The sequence below is a fragment of the Homo sapiens genome, chromosome 10 (genome assembly GCF_000001405.40).
Source record: "Homo sapiens chromosome 10, GRCh38.p14 Primary Assembly".
NCBI lineage: Eukaryota > Metazoa > Chordata > Mammalia > Primates > Hominidae > Homo > Homo sapiens.
Window position 1 is genome coordinate 75,060,892 of NC_000010.11, and position 18,348 is coordinate 75,079,239.

An 18,348-nucleotide genomic window follows, 5' to 3' on the forward strand; every position below is an offset into this window, starting at 1 on the left:
ACATACTGAAATATTTGCTTCAAAAATAATATAGTTGGAAAATATAAATAATATAATGTTGGGGCAAGGTATTGATGTAGGTGTGAATGAGATGGGCTGGCTATGAGTGATGGTGATTGGGGCTGGATGATGGTTATAAGGTAGTTGTTGTTTCTCTTTTTTCCTTTTTTAAAATAGAGATGAGGTCTCGCTATGTTGGCCAAGCTGGTCTCGAACTCCTGAGCTCAAGTGATCCTCCCACCTCAGCTTCCCAAAGTGTTGGGATTACAGGTGTGAGCCATCACACCTGGCCAGTTGCTGTTTCTCTTCAGGTGTGTTTGAAATTCTCCATGATAGAAATTTAAAAGGAAAGGGTTGAGACCACTGCTTTGGGGAATTGGATTCTCCCAAGTCCATAGCAGATGACTTAAAGGATCACTAGCTAGCCATGAGTGTCTGTAGGGATTGTGGGAAGCCAGGGTTTGTGACTTCCTCCAACAACTTCCTGCTTCCTGGTGAAGTGTGGAGAGGGCAATAGGCAGCAAAGGGGACCCTCCTGTGAAGTCTCTCAAAGTGTGGTCTGAAGACCACGTCTGTCAGAGTCACCTGGCACTAACCAAAAATACAGATATCCGGGCTGCACCCTCGTAGGGGCGCAGGCATCTGTATCTCAATGAGCTCCGAAGTGAGTCTGACGCTTAGTAAAGTTTGATAATAATTGTCTGAGATGTGGCTAGAGAGCCAGGGTGCTGCGGAGTCAAGGGAAAGGTAGTGAGGGTGCTCATTCAAAATGCCTCCCGCTGTCCCAGTGGGGTGGGAGGCCCGGTCTTTGGCCCAGAATGCAGCTGCAGGCTGGGAGGAGAGAGGACCTTGCTTCGGGGCTCCTGAGTGTGGCTTCTCTCTGTAGCCTTGGTGTCTGGCACGTAAGAGGTGCTCAGGAGATATGGGTTGGATGAGGAAGTGGCTTAGTGAATGAATGGAATGAGTGAATGAGTGACTGAGGGGTGAAGGAATGATTAAGGGCTGTGAGGCCTGTGCAAGGGGCTCAGCAAGAGCTGCTAAGGCAGGACTGAGCCTCCAGGCTGATTTGGAGGAGGGAGAAGGTGAGGGGACTGCAGGCGCAGGGTGGGCTGCCCTCCCCCACGGGTGGTCATTCAGGCCCAAACTCTATTCTGGGGCCTGCCTGCTGTGTTTCCAGTCAGGAAGGAAGAAATTATTTTAAGGAGTGGCCAGAAATCTTTCTCACAGAAACGAGCCCAGACCTTTCAGTCCCCTAAGAGCATACGTAGTTATAGCCCTCCTTGCTTCAGGCCCACAGTGTCTAAAGGTGTGAAGCTCAGCTCGTCCATGGCACCCACTCTTCTTGTTCGAAGTGAGTAGAAGCTGGGCACCATACACCTAAAGGTGGTTTAGGCCATCTTGAACCCTGCCTGCGGTTAATGGAAGCTTCAGAAGAGGTGATTTTCGGGAGACGCTAGAGTCAATTCCGTTCTGAAACCTCCGTCTGCCTCCTTTGATCACTGAAGCTGACCTCACCCTTGGTGAGGCCATTCTTCCTTCATTACACTGTGGAGGGAACCATCCCCGTCTCCATCTCTGTGCTGAAAGCCTCGGCTGGATTTCCAGACAAAGGAGGAAGTGGTGCGGTCTACCCCGAGGAGCTTGGCACGCAGAGTGAGCCCTGGGATCTATTATCCTCCAGCACGCAGATTTGATGGGGAAAGAGAACAAAGTGTGGAACCGTCCAGAAACCACAGACCTGTAATCTTTCCAAATCCTGAAGGCGGCCTGTGTGCACCCTCTCTGCATGGCTCCCAACTCTCTAATTCTCAGAGAGGCCAGGAGCATCTGTTTCCCAGATCACAGCCAACATGGAAGGGAAGACAAATCTGTTCTGTTTGGTTTCCATAGATTCGACCCAGAGATTAACTGCCAAGGTCTCAATGACACACACAATATCAATCACAGGCTAAATGTCATAATGAGAGCTGGGCAGGCTGTCAAGAGAGGCCCCCAGGTTCCTGTTACAGCTTCATATTTAAAGATTTGGTCCCAGGAAATCAAATGCTGTCTCCGAGACGACTTGGCCTACATGCAATGGCAGCCTGTCTCCTCCTTAAAAGGTGACAAACTCAGGCTCCTTCAGGGAGGGGCCAGGCAGATAACATAGAGGAAGGAAGTAGGTTGGGTGTTAAAAAGTAAACAAACAAAAACCTGGCTGTTGGCCTCAGGCAAGAGACATTAGGGAGTGGTGGGGAGTGTGGCACATCAGGGAGCATATGCCTCCATTAAGGGGGCAGCAGCTTGCTGTCCCATGTGGGAATGCAAGCCCAGATTTTCTGGTATTTTTATGATCCTCATAGATTGTTGTGAGAAATCTATTGATTTTTAAATGTAAGCCCCTGTAATCGATGCTATTCTTGCCCTGTTACAAGGATAGCATCTACTACAGGTGCCTACAGGTGCCTCCTCAGCTCAAGTCACTGCAGCAGAAGTGGACAGTTCTTTATATACATAAAAGCCTTCCTACCTCAGATGCCTGTTTTCCTGCTTGAGGGCATTTTCTAGTCCTTGTGCTGGTCAGGCCTGCAGTATGTGGAGTTAACATCCCCCAGAAGTTGTCACCAATTAGAGGCAGGAGTTGGTGGATAAACATCCCCACTTCCTCAACCCTGAGTGGACCACTTTTGAAATATGTCCTGCACAGTCTCCTGGAGGCTGGCCCGTGTGTTGGAGCTCCAGTTGCCCAGAGTGGGACTCTGCTCGCTTACACATCCTTCACTGGTTCTCCTCCCTCTTGGGTGCTCTGCATGCCACACCGTGCTCCCGGGAGCACCTCTCAAATAAACAACATGCACCCAAACTCTAGTCTCAGAGTGTGCTTTTAAAGGAAACTAAACCAAGGTACAGCTAATTTAAAAACATTTAAAGGTGAAAGACACGGTATACATATATCAAAACATCACATCGTATCCCACAAATACAATTATTATTTGTCAATTAAAAATAAAAATGTAAGGAGAAAAGAAAAAACAAAGCTACCATGATAACAGAAGATGCAAGAGGCCGAGCAGTACTTGACCACTAAGGCCTGGAGTGCCATTTCCTTCCATGAAAGTGACCTTGCCTTTGAAGAGCTATCAGCACAGGGACTCCTCATTAACTCAGACTCTAGTTCAGACTTTTTTTTTTTTGAGATAACGTCTCACTTTGTCACCCAGGCTGGAGTGCAGTGGCACAGCTCACTGCAGCCTCAAACTCCTGGGCTCAATATCCTCTTGCCTCAGCCTCCCAAGTAGCTGAGACCACAGGTTGCACCACCACACCTGGCTAATTTTTTTTTTAAAGTTTTTTTGTAGCCGGGCACGGTGGCTCACGCCTGTAATCCCAGCACTTTGGGAGGCCAAGGCAGGTGGATCACAGAGTCAAGAGATCGAGACTATCCTGGCCAACATGGTGAAACCCCGTCTCTACCAAAAATACAAAATTTAGCTGGGTGTGGTGGCGCATGCCTGTAGTCCCAGTGACTTGGGAGGCTGAGGCAGGAGAATTGCTTGAACCTGGGAGGCAGAGGTTGCAGTGAACCGAGATCGCGCCACTGCACTCCAGCCTAGTGACAGAGCGAGACTCCGTCTCAGAAACAAAAAACAACAACAAAAAAAGTTTTTTGTAGAGATGGGCTCTCACCATGTTGCCCAAACGGGTCTTGAACTCCTGGGCTCAAGCGTTCCTCCTGCCTCAGCCCCACAAAATTCTGGGATTACAAGCATGAGCCACTGCACCTGGCTTATTTCAGAATTTTCTATTGCAAGGCTTGCATTTAGTTAAAGGTTTCCTTTGCCCAAGTAGGAAAGGTTTTAATCTGAATTTGAAACTGTAATTTGACACCATTATTTTACTTTATGCATAAAAAAACCCAAACAAGCAAAAAACTTTTTATAGTTTTTTTTTTTAACTAGGAAAAAAATACATCAAAATGTCAATACCATGGGTGACTTTTTCTTCTGTTTCCTAATTTGGGATTCTTTTAATAAATAGTGATATTTTATAATAAATAACCATGTGTATATTTTTAAACTGTGCTGGCCAAGCAGAACAGTCTTGGCAGGAAGCTGCTTGTGACTTCTATTTTGCGATTTCTACCCCATCTCACTTGCTCCTGGGGCCTGGCACTGTCACTGGCCCCAGCAATCACTGAAGACCCTCAGATCTACATGTTCCATCCTCCCTGAGCTCCAGTGCCTTCTTTGACAAAAATGGAGCTAAAGCTAGAGGGGCAAAATGCTTTTTAAACAAACAAACAAAAAAACAAAAAAATTTCAAGCTGAACTCTTTTGCTTGCTAAGGTGGCAGATGGGAGAAGCGGCCTGGAGAGATGCATAATTCATTTCAGTGGGAAAATTAAAATCTCTAAGTAGAACCCTTGAGGCTGCAGAGATTGGCTAGGGAGCAATGCCTAGGAATGAGAGCATGTGTCAGGAAAGAAGGCTTATCTTTTTTCTTTTTTTTTTTGAGACAGAGTCTTGCTCTGTCACCCAGGCTGGAGCTCACGGGTTCAAGCGATTCTCCTGCCTCAGCCTCCGGAGTAGCTGACACTACAGGCACCCGCCACCCCACCCGGCTAAATTTTGTATTTTTAGTAAAGACAGGGTTTCACCATGTTGGCCAGGCTGGTCTCAAACTTCTGACCTCAAATGATCCACCCACCTTGGCCTCTCAAAGTGCTGGGATTACAGGCATGAGCCACCGCGCCCAGCCATCTTAATATTTTGAAGAGCCACATACAGGCTTCTTGCTTAACAGAAAGCACAATTTAAGGATTTTTTTTTTTTTCCGTAGAGACAGGGCCTCACTCAGTTGCCCAGGCTGTGGTGCAGTGGTTCAATCATGGCTCGCTGCAGCCTCAATCTCCCAGGTTCAAGGGATCCTCCCACCTCAGCCTCTAGAGCAGCTAGGACTGCAGGCATGTGCCACCACACCCAGCTAATTTACTATTATTATTATCATTTATTTTATTTTATTTTATTTTATTATTTTATTTTTGTAGACATTGTCTTGCTATGGTGCCCAGGCCTGTCTCCAACTTCTGGCTTCAAGTGATCCTCCCATTTCAGCCTCCTGAAGCACTGAGATTACGGGTGTGAGCCACTTTGGCCTATTTGAGGGTCCCTTTGATGGGAAAAACATGAGTTCTGTGGCATGGCCCAGAAAGAGGTGGAGTGAAACAAAGAGAACTAAATTGTTCTGTACAATAAAGCAAGAGACTTTTGAGTTTCCTAGAACATTCTAGAAGGAGTATGAGGGGGCCCTGCGGCAGGACTGAGGAAAGGACCAACTGGGGCCAGAGACCACCAAGTGAGGAGTTTCTGGGGGAGGAATAGCCACGAGATTACTGAGAACGGGGGTTCCCAACCTTCAACTTGGCAGTGCCCCATAGCTGTGGCAGCCCTCTCATTGGGACCCTAACCCTTCAACAGAATTGTTACACACAACAGCCATGTTCTCGGTGACTCCAAGAAATCAAAGGGAAAGAGGCTGGCGCTGGCAGAGAGAGAAAGCAGAAGTTTGTGAAGCAGCAGATACAGAACCATCCCCTTCTTGTACAAAAATAAATTTCCCCAAAATATTAACACTGGCTACATGCTCGTTTTAGGGTGACGAAATTATATGTGATTTTTGTTTTCTTTTTTTAAAGTAACCATCTTTTCTAAATTTTCTGTGCTAGACATGTTTTACTTGAGCATATGGAGGGAAAAAAACAAAATTCCATGAAAGTTCTATTTTAGAAGTGTTCTGCACGGAGTAGAAGCTCACCCAAAACCCCCGGGCCGAGGCAGGAAGGTGGCCCTCAGGACAAGGTCTGACCCTGCTCCTTACATCTCTCCAGTGGCACCGAGTGCCTCCTGTCAAGTGGGAGCCCCCCGAAGGCAGCTCTGTGTCCTCCCCGAGGCTGCCCATGGCAGCAGTCAGGCCTCCGTGGTGTCAGAAGGTCATCCTAGCCGCCTGTGCCTCCTGAGAAAGCAGGAGGAATCTAGGTTTTGTGGATCTTGAAGCTTATTCAATTTCTTTTTTCTTTTTTTTCTTTTTCTTTTTTTTTTTTTCTTTGAGACAGAGTCTTACTCTGTCGCTCAGGCTGGAGTGCAGTGGTGCAATCTCAGCTCACTGCAACCTCTGCCTCTTGGGTTCAAGCAATTCTCCTGCCTCAGCCTCTCCCAAGCAGACACGACTACAGGTGTGTGCCACCACACCTGGCTAATTTTTGTATTTTTAGTAGAGATGGGGTTTCATCATGTTGACCAGGCTGGTCTCGGACTCCTGATCTCAAGCAATCCTCCTGTCTCGGCCTTCCAGAGTGCTGGGATTACAGGCGTGAGCCACTGCACCCGGCCTGAATTTCTTTAAGTAAAAGAAAACCAAACAGGTATAGGGCCTTGGAAGCGGCTGGTGCAAGTGCAGGGTTCTGAAGCTTGGGGTAAATCCACCTCGGAGTAGGGGGGATCTTCCTTCCCCTCTGACTTCAGATGAAGAGGGCAGCCCCCCTCCCCACCCCATCCCTTACAGTGTCAGAGCCAGCATCATTGATTCTGCTTAGCTTGGTCTTAGTCTAACTCAGCTGACATGGGGGTGCTCTGGCGGGTCACGAGAAGGAATGAGGAGTGGCATCGTTCCCTCCTTGACTTCCCCTCAGAAGTTAGGCCTGGCCCTGACTCCAAAGCTTTACCGTGTATGCCCCTGTGTAGGGTTGGGCTGGGCCAGGCCAGCATGGGAGGGGATCGGAAAGGGGTGTGCTGAGCTAAGCCAGGGAGGTCTCTGCCTTCTAGAGGTTTTTAGCTGAGTAGAACAATTTATAGTGTAAACATTTAAAAAATTCTCCTCTCCCTAGAGGTCAAGACTAGCCTGGGCAACATTATGAGACCCTGTCTCTATAAGAAAATATTTTATTTTATTTTATTTTATTTTGAAACAGAGTCTCACTCTGTCGCCCAGGCTGGAGTAAAATGGTGCAATCCAGGCTCACTGCAACCTCCGCCTCCCAGATTCAAGCGATTCTCCTGCCTCAGCCTCCAGGGTAGCTGGGATTACAGGCGCTCACCATCCCGCCCAGCTAATTTTTGTATTTTTAGTAGAGATGGGGTTTCACCATGTTGGCTAGGCTGGTCTTGAACTCCTGACCTCAAATGATCCACCCCCATCAGCTTCCCAAAGTGCTGGGATTATAGGCATGAGCCACTGCACCTAGCCTTCTGCAAGAAAATTTTTAAAAATTATATACATATAACAGAAAAGTTACCACCTTAGCATTTTAAAATACAGTAAAGGCTGGGTGCAGTGGCTCAGGCCTGTAATCCCAGAGCTTTAAGAGGCTGAGGCGGGAGGATTGCTTGAGTCCAGCAGTTCAAGACCAGCCTGGGCAACATGATGAGACTCCCATTTCTACAAAAGATAGAGAAAAAAATAGCTGACCATGGAGGTGCATGCACCTGTGGTCCCAGCTACTTGGGAGGCTGAGGTGGGAGGATTGCTTGAGCCCAGGAGTTTGAGGCTGCAGCGAGCTATGATCATGCCACTGCACTCCAGCCTGGATGACAGAGTGAGAACCTTCTAAATATGAAAAATCCTCCTCTCCCTTCGAAGGCATTCTGTATCTGTGCCTGTGTGTAGATCCATTGCATTTTCATGTTTCTAAAGCATGGCGCTCATGGGGAAAGCTGGTCTGTGTTTAAGTGCCTGTGTACCACGTTTCTTCCATGACACCACCCAAGTTGGGCTTGGATATGCTTGGAAAGAAGGGGGAGAGTAAAAATGTTATTGTGGTTGGGTGAATTACTCTATTAGGAGAGTAATACCTACTGCTAGGGTACGTGGGGAGGGGCGGAATTTGGCAGCAGTGTCCATATGTAAATATGTACATATTTTTAACTTAGTACAAGTTAGTGCTTGTCTTTACGCATTTTAGATATACAAAAATGATCCCAACTAGGGAATGAAGTAAGTGGATTTTTTTTAAAAAGAAAACTTGGACGTAAAAACTCAGGAATTTTTTGTGGCCTATAATTTAATTCCTAATGTATCAGACATATTCCAAGTTTAACAGATTTTTTTTTTTCTTTTGGATTCTGGCAAGTATGTTAACAGGAGGCAATTATGTGAATTAATATAAAATCCTTTTATTAAAAAATACAGAAGAGCCTTCATTTTAAAAGTAATTTAATATTCCTTCTCTGATGGTGTTGATGTCATGAACTTGTTTGATTAACTCTTCAAATGGTTTCAAAGCGCTTGGGGTTGTAATTTATGAACTTCTAATTGATTTCCCCAATCTTGGTTTGGCAGAGGAGGGCCTCCCGGAAGCCCTGAGGAGGCTGGAGGCCACACTCAGCTTCCTTCTCAGACAAGGGAGCCGGCCGGGATGGACTTTCTCGAGCGGCCAGGGGAGAGGGAGCTGTGGCACTGGAGACCCAGACCATGATGTCTGACCAGGCCCGTTGTGGTTCCTGAATCCTAAGCAGCTGGGCCTTCACTCCCTCTGAAGATGTGTGGAAACACCACAGGCGGTTTCACAGGAACCATTTCCCACTGGGCCTCACCTCAGAACAAGCCTTCCTTGTTCGGGGAAGGGCAAGACTCCGCAGGTGCAGCCCTCACCATGGTCCTGCCGCTCCACCACTTCCTGTCCAGGCCACTTATTCGTCACTGGTCCTGTCTCAGATGCTACACAGAGGACGCTCTGGGCCTTGGGAAGGCGAGGGGCTAAGGCTGCCACCTCTTAAATCTGCCACCCACAAAAGCTCGCAGAGAAATCAAGGCCTTGGCTGGACCCAGGGAAATGATTGTGTTGCTTTTATTGTGTGCCCAGTGATTATCTACTCTCAAAACCTTGTAGATAGTGGCTGGGCACGGTGGTTCACACCTGTAATCCCAGCATTGTGGGAGGCCAAGGCAGGCGGATCCCTTGAGGTGAGGAGTTTGAGACCAGTCTGGCCAACATGGTGAAACCCTGTCTCTACTAAAAATACAAAAAAAAAAAAATGAGCTGGGCGTGGTGGTGTGTGCCTGTAATCCCAGCTACTAGGGAGGCTGAGGTATGAGAATCACTTGAACCCAGGAGGTGGAGGTTGCTGTGAGCCAAGATCATGCCACTGCACTCCAGCCTGGGTGACAGAGTGAGACCTTGTCAAAAAAAAAAGAAAGAAAGAAGAAAGGAAGGAAGGAAGGAAGGAAGGAAGGAAGGAAGGAAGGAAGGAAGGAAGGAAGGAAGGAAGGAAGGAAAAGAAAGAAACGTTCTAGATAGGGAATAACTGCCTCCACTTTACAGATGAAAAAATGAGGGTCAGGGAGGTTAAGAAACAACACACCAAGCTAGTAAAGGGTGCAAATAGGACTCAACCCAACAGCCCCACATCCCAACCCACCACAATAGATACTTCACTATATTCTTGGTCACAAAGTATAAGCTCCTGAGGGCATGCCTGGGCCTCTCAATTCTGTATGCTTCCCTCCCTAGAGTGGAGCACACAGTCATGTAAATTTGCAGCAAGCAGCTCTTATGGGCCTTGGAATCTCACTACCTGGGCTTCGGCTTCCTCATCTGTCAAATGGGGATAACTTGCACCTCACTGGTTGCTGAATTAAATGAGATAATGTAAGCCCTTGGCACATCCGCATGAGCTCAAAGAGGGTTTCAGGGAGCAGAGACAAGGAGGCGGCCTGGAGGGTGGGTGGGGAATTCCCAGCTGTACTGGGAGTTGTGTTCCCAACCGAGAATAGGAAAGAGTGGGTGGAGCAGTTTGGCCGGGGCGGAGGTCTTGGTAGGGAAGCTGTGGCGGAGGAGATGGACTCATGTGAGCCTGAGCATTGTCCTGTGGGTGACAGGACCCATCGCCTCCTGCGTGACATGCAAGAGAGTAGGAGAAAGGACTCTCCCCAGCTAGTCAGCCTCTGGTCGCTGTGTCAGGCTGCTAGGAGATCTGACCCCCTCGTTACTGTGGAACGGGTAGGCCCAGAAACGTGAATGGTCACCAGAAGAGGAGATTAAAACACCATCTGCTCTGAAATCAGGCCGAAGAGGACAAACAGCTAACTCCTGGCCCAGGAACCTGGAGTGGCTGTTTCCAGGCCGGGCCTCCCTGAGACAGGGGCCCTGGTTGGAGTTTAGGGGTTGAGAGGAGTAGGAGAGTGAGATGCCACCAGGCCTCTACCCCAATGAGAGGCACCAGAGCAAAGGGGCTACACCCCGAAACTCTGAGGCACGCTGGGTTCTGGCCTCTGCCCCTGTTTAGGCTGCATGACCTTGGGCAGAACACTTAGTATTTGTGTCTCCGTGTCCAATCTGAAATGGGGCTGTGCTGTCCATCCCTCATTAAGCTGCTGCAATTCTGAGGAATAAATGATTCCTGCTTGTCAGGAAAGCTCTTGGAACAGTGCCAGACACATAGCACAGGAAACACCGCCAGGCCTCGGGGCCGCAGTGTCTGGGGAAGGCTTGGTGGAGGCTGCTCACCCCCACCCTGGTGGACTCAACTGGGCCTCCCTGGGGCTGCTGGAAGATGCTCACAGCCCAGCCCCTGGCCTCAGGGCCTCCCCTAAGCCCCTCATCTACTGTGGGGTCAACAACAGCCACGGGAGTGCCACCCGCAGACAGGACCAGGTTCCCACCCAACCCAGGTGTCAGCCATGACTGAAATGTCCCCAGTAAGGGCTCCAGTTTGTCTGATGGCAGAGGACCACTGGCTCTCTCCTCACCCTCAGCGCAGATCTGCCTTTGCCCATGAAGATCCTTCAGAGCCAAGTGAGATCCTGATACCGGAGGAGGGCCAGGAAGTGCTGGGTAGAGAAAGGCAGGTCCCTGGCCAGGGCTCCACCTCCACAGACCCAGGTGAGGACAGGCACTCCTGCCTTCGCACCCAAATGTTATATTTTCCAAGACCACCCTGGCCCGCCACACCCCAATCCTGTGCCTATAAAAACCTGAGACACACAACCGGCTGGACGTACTGAGGAACACATAGGCAGAAGACACAAGCGGCTGGTTGTCAAAAGCGCGCCGGCAGAAGATCACGCCGACAGGCACTGGCAGGCCTGCAGGCCATTGACAAGCGGAATGATGCGGAGTTTGGCCAGAGCGGTTGGAGGAGAAGAGTCGGCTGCTGAGTGGCCCAACTCCAGGGAAAAACTGTCTCCCTTCTGGCTCCCCCATCTGCTGAGAGCTACTTCTACTCAATAAAACCTTGCACTCTTCTCCAAGCCCACATGTGATCTGATTCTTCCCCTACACCAAGGCAAGAAACCCCAGGATACAGAAATCCCTCTGTCCTTGTGATAAGGAAGGAGGTCTAATTGAGCCAGTTAACACAAGCCGCCTATAGACAGCAAACTAAAAGAGCACCCTGTAACACACACCCACTGGGGCTTCAGCTGTAAACATTCACCCCTAGACACTGCCATGGGGTCAGAGCCCCACAGCCTGCCCGTCTGTATGCTCCTCTAGAGGTCTGAGCAGCTGGGTACTGAACAAGCGAGCCACACCCCCGTCGCATGCCCTGTGAGAGGGACAAAGGAACCTTTCCTGTTTCACTCCCACTAACTCTCCTCAGACCCACCCCATGTCCACCCCAGCCTCCATGCCCAACGCGCCTTCCTTGTTAAGAACTCAGCTCAGAAGCCCTTCAAGTGTTGTTTATTAATGTCAGAGTCCTCGGATTTGTCGGTGGGACCAAATGATATTCTCATGATGAGAACAAGGAGGGATCACAAGCTAAAGGTGGGGGCAGCGGAAAAAACATCCAGGGCCAGGGACCCTCAGGTGCTGGCGGCCGTGAGTGTGGCAACCTCTCCAGACATCCTCCTCGTGCCCTTCCTCCTGTTCGCTGGAGCATTTTCCGCTTTCCCGAACGATCAGAGCCCCCGGGCCCAACTGTTCTTGGGTTCCAGGCCCATGAAGGGACCCCTGGGGTCACAGCACAAGGGCACCAGGGTCTAATGGGAGAGCCCTGGTCTGAGACGCAGGCCCGTCCCACTTCCTGCCCACACAGGTCTGAGACACAGGCCCATCCCGCCTCCTGCCCACACGCGGTACAGCCTACACTCTTGGTCCAGTGGCTCTGATCCTTCATGACCCAGTCCCACCCCCCATCTCTACCACGGCAGCGTCATCCCCAACCCCATCCTCCCACCAGGACTGAGAAATGCTCCCAAACCCGCCACTCTGTCCAAATGACGCTTTTGTGTTACCTGGGACACAGGGAGAATTCTCATCCCTGGAGCTTTAAGTACTTTCTTGTCTTTGATGCTGCCCTACACAGGATCCGAGTCACTCCAGGGCCTCTCTCTCTCTCGCCCCCGAGATTTCTCCCCCTTTACTGGCTAAATGGACAAACGTAGAACCTCGTTGGAATGTGGAATATGATACAATACATCCAATGCTTCACAAGGGCTCGATGAGCTTTAATCCACCCCATTATCCTTTAGAAATGGTCGTTGAACTGGAAGTTCAGATTTGGAGAAAGGGAAATGGAGAAAATTCCATGGTGTCTCTCGTAAAAGGACAGCAAGAAACCTTTCACACTAGAAGGAGGTCGGCTATTCCCCACAGCACCAGGAACAGGGTGGAAAAGGGGCTTCTAATCCCCACACCCAGGCCCCCAAAGAACACGTGGGTGAACCCAAGGGGTGCCGGCCTCCCCACCCAGCGGCCTTACCTGGGTGTGCCGGGGCCTGGCCGCGTCGGGAGGTTCTGGTCCGTGGGGCATGTAGCAGCCGCACGCCCAGCCACCCCCACTGGCAACAGAGGCCTATTTTTAGGGTCAGATCTGCTGACGCTGACCTTGCGTGCCGTCCAGTCTAAGAGGAGACCTATGACATCTGCTTGCAAAATGATTTTCCAGTGCGACCTGAAACCCTTGACTTAGGAAGCCCTGTACCTGAAGCCTACACGCTTGTCCCCGGCCCAGCCACAGAGGCAGGACATGTGGCCACCAGGGCAGGGACAGACAGGAATTTTCCAACTTTGTTTTCCTGGGATGGACGAAGCCAGGTGTCTACAGGCCCTGCCCTGAGCCCTGTCCCAGAACAGCTAGAACAGGGGAGGTTTGCCCACTGGCACAGCTCTCTATTCCAGTCTTTTCTGAGAGTTTGTGGAGCTATCTCTGGGAGGCCAATGGAATGGATGCCACATCACACAGGGTAATCAATGAAACTCTGGGCAGAGTTTGTGCTGTGTGGCTTCCAGTGAGACCCCAGCAAGCACCCAACCATGCTGGGCTTCAGTGGGGATAATGATCATAATATCCTCCTCTTACATTGCTATGAGGACTGAATGAGATAAAGAATTTGGTGGTATTAGAATATTTAACAGTCTCCAGTGAGCCAAGATTGTGCCACTGCACTCCAGCCTGGGTGACAAAGCAAGACCCTGTCTCAAAAAAAAAAAAAAAAAAAAAAAAAAAAAATATATATATATATATATATATATATATATTTAACGTTAACAGTCATTAACAGTCGTTCCCAGGTCTCTCTTCTTGGCCCTTTCTTCTGTCAACCTTCCTCCTCAATGGCTCCAGAGTTCTTTGCTCTGGGATCCCTCCCACCAAGCCCTACCAATGTAGCCCCGCTTTTTAATACTTACGGGCAAAATCCTGCCCAGTCTCCTCTAATTTTCTAGTAAAATCTTCCCAGGGCTTGCTACAGTTCCTTATAATGAATGACGTGGTTCTCCATTCGTATCCATCCTTGTCATCCTCTCTGGGGCATGCTTTAGTGTGTGAAGGACTGGGAGAAGTAGGGAAGGAAGCACCAGGCTCCCACATCTTTCACTTAACACAATCTTCTTGCATTGGGGTCATTATATTGTCCTCTGAAACTTTATTCACCCAACCAAAGATCTTCCTCACAATTTGCTACATTAGCTACTGCCAGTTTAATTTATAGCAATTATTTCTACTAGTACTATTCATTGCTAAGTGACTTAGCTTTTATTGATTTCTTGGTGTGAGGAAAATTCCCAAGGCAAATACACAGAATCTGAGTGTACAATGAAGTCAGAATGTCAGAGTCCAAATGTCCCTGCTGTCAAGTGCTGGAGTCAAAACAGCAAGGTCGAAAGGCCCTTCTGCACTTACCCCAAGAACTAAGGGAGTCAGAGATGCTGGAATTGCCAAAGATAGAGAAGAAAGATTTCTCCTTAGCTGAAAGCCTGGGGGGCAGCCCCAGCCCCAGTCAAGGGCTGAGGAAGCAAAAGGGAGCTCTGAAGATGCAGCTTCAGCAGGGAGCAAACATAACATATCTAAAGACATCTGAGCTAGCTAGATGACTGAGAGAGGGAGAGAGAGAGTATTTCACACCATCTAGGAAACGTTCAATGACTTAATTTACAGGAAGTCAAGAGGAGAATTTGGTGGGTTGTTGGATTATCACCTCCAGTAAAGTAGACCCTACATGTGGTTAACCAGAAGACTGATGGCCCCTCCTCTAATCCTTCACACATTAAAATAGGCCCAAAAGAGGGTGACAAGGATAGAGAAGGGTTAAAAAAAAAACAACCATCATTTACTATGGGGAACTGAAGGAAGCCCTGGGAAGGTTTTCTTAGAAAAGAGTGGTGGTGGTGGTAGAGGATACCTGGTCTGTCTTCGAGGAGCTAAGGGGAAACACCAACATTCTCTGCACAACACTAAGGGCAGAACCTGGACCTTGGGAGACACCCCAAGAGCTGCCTCATGTAGATGAAGGAAACACACCATCCCATCAAGATGGGAGCGAGCCAGGTAAGCATCAGTTGGACTGAGAGATGTGTCCAATTGTTCCCAACTCCAAGGAGATTTCCTAGGATTCTGTGAAAAAGCAAGCTCCATTCATGCAGGTCAAGTATAATCCTGTAGAAACAACTGTTACTGGCTGGGCGCAGTGGCTCACACCTGTAATCCCAGCACTTTGGGAGGCCGAGGCGGGCAGATCACTTGATGTCAAGAGTTCAAAACCAGCGGCCAACAGGGGAAACTAACATATGAAGTTTGCCGTCCTGGACCCAAACTTTTCTGGGTCCAGAAGATCCAGAGGCTTTTAGTGCCCTGTGGATACCTGAATATGCATGGAGGCTGAGTCCAGCTGCAGCCCAGGGGAGAGGCCTCCCTGCCCACCCAGAGGCCGGATCCAAGGGCTGTAAGTCTGCAGCTCTCCCAGACGGCTCTCTTTTCCTTCACATTAAAAAGCAAAGCAAAGCAAGAGAAACTGAGGCCTATGTTCTGCAGGAAGTCCAAAGCCCTCTCCAACATCTCAGAGGACTGTTTATCCCTGGGAAAAGAATAGTAGGATGGCTCTCATTTCTCCAAAGTCAATTCTGCTGTGGCCTCTCCACCCTTGCTGGCACTCTCTGGCCTATCACTCCTACAACCTCATTCTGAGCTTGACACCACCATCTTCTATTATTCCTCCATCACTCACCCAAGGGATTGTGTGGGGCAGAGGGATTGCAGCACAGAGCAGGAGACAAGTCCACATTCAAGGTTTAACCTCCCCATTCTTTGAAAATTATTGGCTAGGCCCCATCTCCAAGGACTTTCTGTGTCCTGCTGTGTTCATGAGGCTCCTCTCTGTACATGCGATTGTCACAGCCTTCCTTTTTCTTCATTCGTCATCTCTCCCCTCCTCTCTAGAGCCGAGTGCCTCAACAGGCTCGAGAGTCCTCCTATTGTCATGCAGAGCAGCTCAACTCCCTCTTAGTCTCAACCTCCCAGGCAGACTAAGCCTAGGGTGCCCCCATTCTCATCCAACAAGCTCACCCAGGTGGCTTGGTGGCGGGTGCTTGTAATCCAAGCTATTTGGGAGGCTGAGGCAAGAGAATTGCTTGAACCCGGGAGGCAGAAGTTGCAGTGAGGTTGCAGTGAGCCGAGATTGTGCCACTACACTGCAGCCTAGGAGACAGAGCGAGACTCCGTCTCAAAAAAAAAAAAAAGAAGAAGAATATGTAGGTGCTTTGTTCTCTTGGGATCTGGCTTTCAGCAGTGGCAAAGTGTGACTGTAACTCTACCCATTTTTGTAATTAAAACCATCCACAGGCCACAGAGAATGCTTTTCCCTTTCTCTTGCTCTGTGTTCTCAAAATCAAAGGTAACTAAATATGAATTAAATGAAGGTTGGTGGGCTGTGCTGCCACTGACCTTGGAGGTGGACACTGCTTTGGAGTACTAGGAGGATTTGAGCTATGGAAGGGCTTCCCGGTGAAGAAAGGGGGCTTATTCTATTTGTCAAGTATATCTACTCAGATAGTATAAAGGACCTGGTAGCGCTGAGCGTCCTGATGTCTGTGTTTCACCTCACAGTTCTGGGGGCACTCCAGAATTAGCATGGTATTCTGACAGTTGCAATAGCTGAGAAATATTTTCGTATATTACACAGTTCATAGTGGTTTTTTGTTTGTTTGTTTGAGACAGAGTTTTGCTCCTGTTGCCCAGGCTGGAGTGCAATGGCACAATCTTGGCTCACTGCAACCTCTGCCTCCCGGGTTCAAGTGATTCTCCTGCCTCAGCCTCCCAAATAGCTGGGATTACAAGCACCCGCCACCATGTCCAGCTAGTAGAGACGGGGTTTCACCATATTGGCCAAGCTGGTCTCGAACTTCTGACCTCAGGTGATCCACCTGCCTCGGCCTCCCAAAGTGCTGGGATTACAGGCGTGAACCACTTCACCCGGCCCCATAGTGTTCTTTAAAGCATATATATGTAGGTCTAGATGTAATGAGCGTAACACATAATGACAGTTCTTTACATTGGCTACTAGACTTGTAAATAGTTTCATTTTTATAATATTTTATTTATTTATTTATATTTGTTGAGATAGGGTGTCATTGTATCACCCAGGCTGGAGTGCAGTTGTGTGATCATAACTCACTGCAGCCTCGACCTCCCTGGTTCAATCGATCCCCCCACCTCAGCCTCCCAAGTAGCTGGGACCACATCCGTGCACCACCACGCCCAGCTAATTTTAAAATTTTTTTGTACAGATAAGGTCTCCCTATGTTGCCCAGGCTGGCCTTGAATTCTTGGGCTCAAGCAATCCTCCTACCTTGGCCTCCCAAAGTGCTGGGATTACAGGCATGAGCCACTACACCCAGCCTATAACAAAATTTTATGAGATTTAACAAAATTTTCAAAAAAATGACAAGATTTTCAGGTTCATTTAGATCATTTTGTCTTAAAACTTCGATAGTCAATGATTATATTTCTTTTTATTTTTAATAGAAACATTGAATATCTTAGAAAGAAAAGAACGCTTGAAAATTATATGAAAATAATTTTAGGTTTTTATTGTTTTTATTTAATTTGCTTTTTTTTTCTTCTTCTTGAGACAGAGTCTTGCTCTGTTACTCAGGCTGGAGTGCAGTGGCGCAATCTCAGCTCACTGCAACCTCCGTCACCTGGGCTCAAGCAATTCTCCCACCTTAGCCTCCCGAGTAGCTGGGACTACATCTGTGCAGCACCATGCCTGGCTAATTTTTGTTTGCATCTTTATGTAGAGATGGGGTTTCACCATATTGCCCAGGCTGGTCTCAAACTCCTGAGCCCAAGCAGTCCACCCAAGTGCTGAGATTACAGGTGTGAGCCACCATCCCCGGCCTAATTTGGTTCTGATAAAGAATATGTTCATATTTTTTTTCACTTTGAATTCAATGAATCATTTTGTTTTTGATCCTTCAGAGCAGCACTGTCCAATAGAAATATAATGTAAGCCATGTACACAATTTCAAAATTTTTAGTAGGCACATTCAAAAGCGTAAAAAGAGCCAGACATAGTGCCTGTAATCCCAGCTACTTGGGAGGCTGAGGTGGAAGGATCACTTGAGCCCAGAGTTTGAGTCCAGCCTGGGCAACATAGTGAGACTCTATCTCCAAAAAAAAAAAAAAGAAAGAAAAAGAAGAAGAAAAGAAAACCTAAACTTAAACAGGTGAAATTAATTTTAATAATACAAATTAAACAGGTGAAATTAATTTTAATAATACATTTTACAAGGCCAAGCATGGTGGCTTACGCTTGTAATCCCAGCACTTTGGGAGGCCGAGGTGGGCAGATCACCTGAGTTCAGGAGTTCGAGACCAGCCATGACCAACATGGAGAAATCCTGTCTCTATAAAAAATACAAAATTAGCCAGGCGTGGTGGCGCATGCCTGTAATCCCAGCTATGTGGGAGGCTGAGGCAGGAGAATCACTTGAACCCGGGAGGCAGAGGTTGCAGTGAGCAGAGATTGCACCATTGCTCTCCAGCCTGGGCAAACTCCGTCTCAAAAAAAAACAAACAAATAAATAAATAAATAATACATTTTACAAAATCTGTCCCAAATATTATTTCAACATGTAATCAATATGAAAAAATT

The 18,348-nt window shown here is 48.3% G+C and overlaps 1 protein-coding gene across 3 annotated transcripts in view, besides 2 other annotated features; it reads right to left on the minus strand.

The window, feature by feature from the left end:
* Window positions 1-12,751, minus strand: part of DUSP29 (dual specificity phosphatase 29) — a 36,171-nt gene extending 23,420 nt beyond the window's left edge. For 2 of the 3 annotated variants that reach the window (NM_001003892.3, XM_017016176.2), the window contains exon 1: window positions 12,678-12,751. The gene's annotated coding sequence lies outside the window, so the exon portion shown is untranslated. Of the gene's footprint in view, window positions 1-12,210; window positions 12,343-12,677 lie in introns of all 3 variants that reach the window. The other variant, NM_001384909.1, reaches the window with a different exon arrangement.
* Window positions 8,490-8,989: an enhancer, noted in NCBI's record as "H3K4me1 hESC enhancer chr10:76829139-76829638 (GRCh37/hg19 assembly coordinates)". NCBI's record gives its function as "activates a minimal SCP1, AML or CMV promoter by ChIP-STARR-seq in naive H9 embryonic stem cells {active_cell/tissue: H9 hESC(naive)}" and the evidence as "EXISTENCE:reporter gene assay evidence [ECO:0000049][PMID:30033119]".
* Window positions 15,374-15,957: an enhancer, noted in NCBI's record as "OCT4-NANOG hESC enhancer chr10:76836023-76836606 (GRCh37/hg19 assembly coordinates)". NCBI's record gives its function as "activates a minimal SCP1, AML or CMV promoter by ChIP-STARR-seq in naive H9 embryonic stem cells {active_cell/tissue: H9 hESC(naive)}" and the evidence as "EXISTENCE:reporter gene assay evidence [ECO:0000049][PMID:30033119]".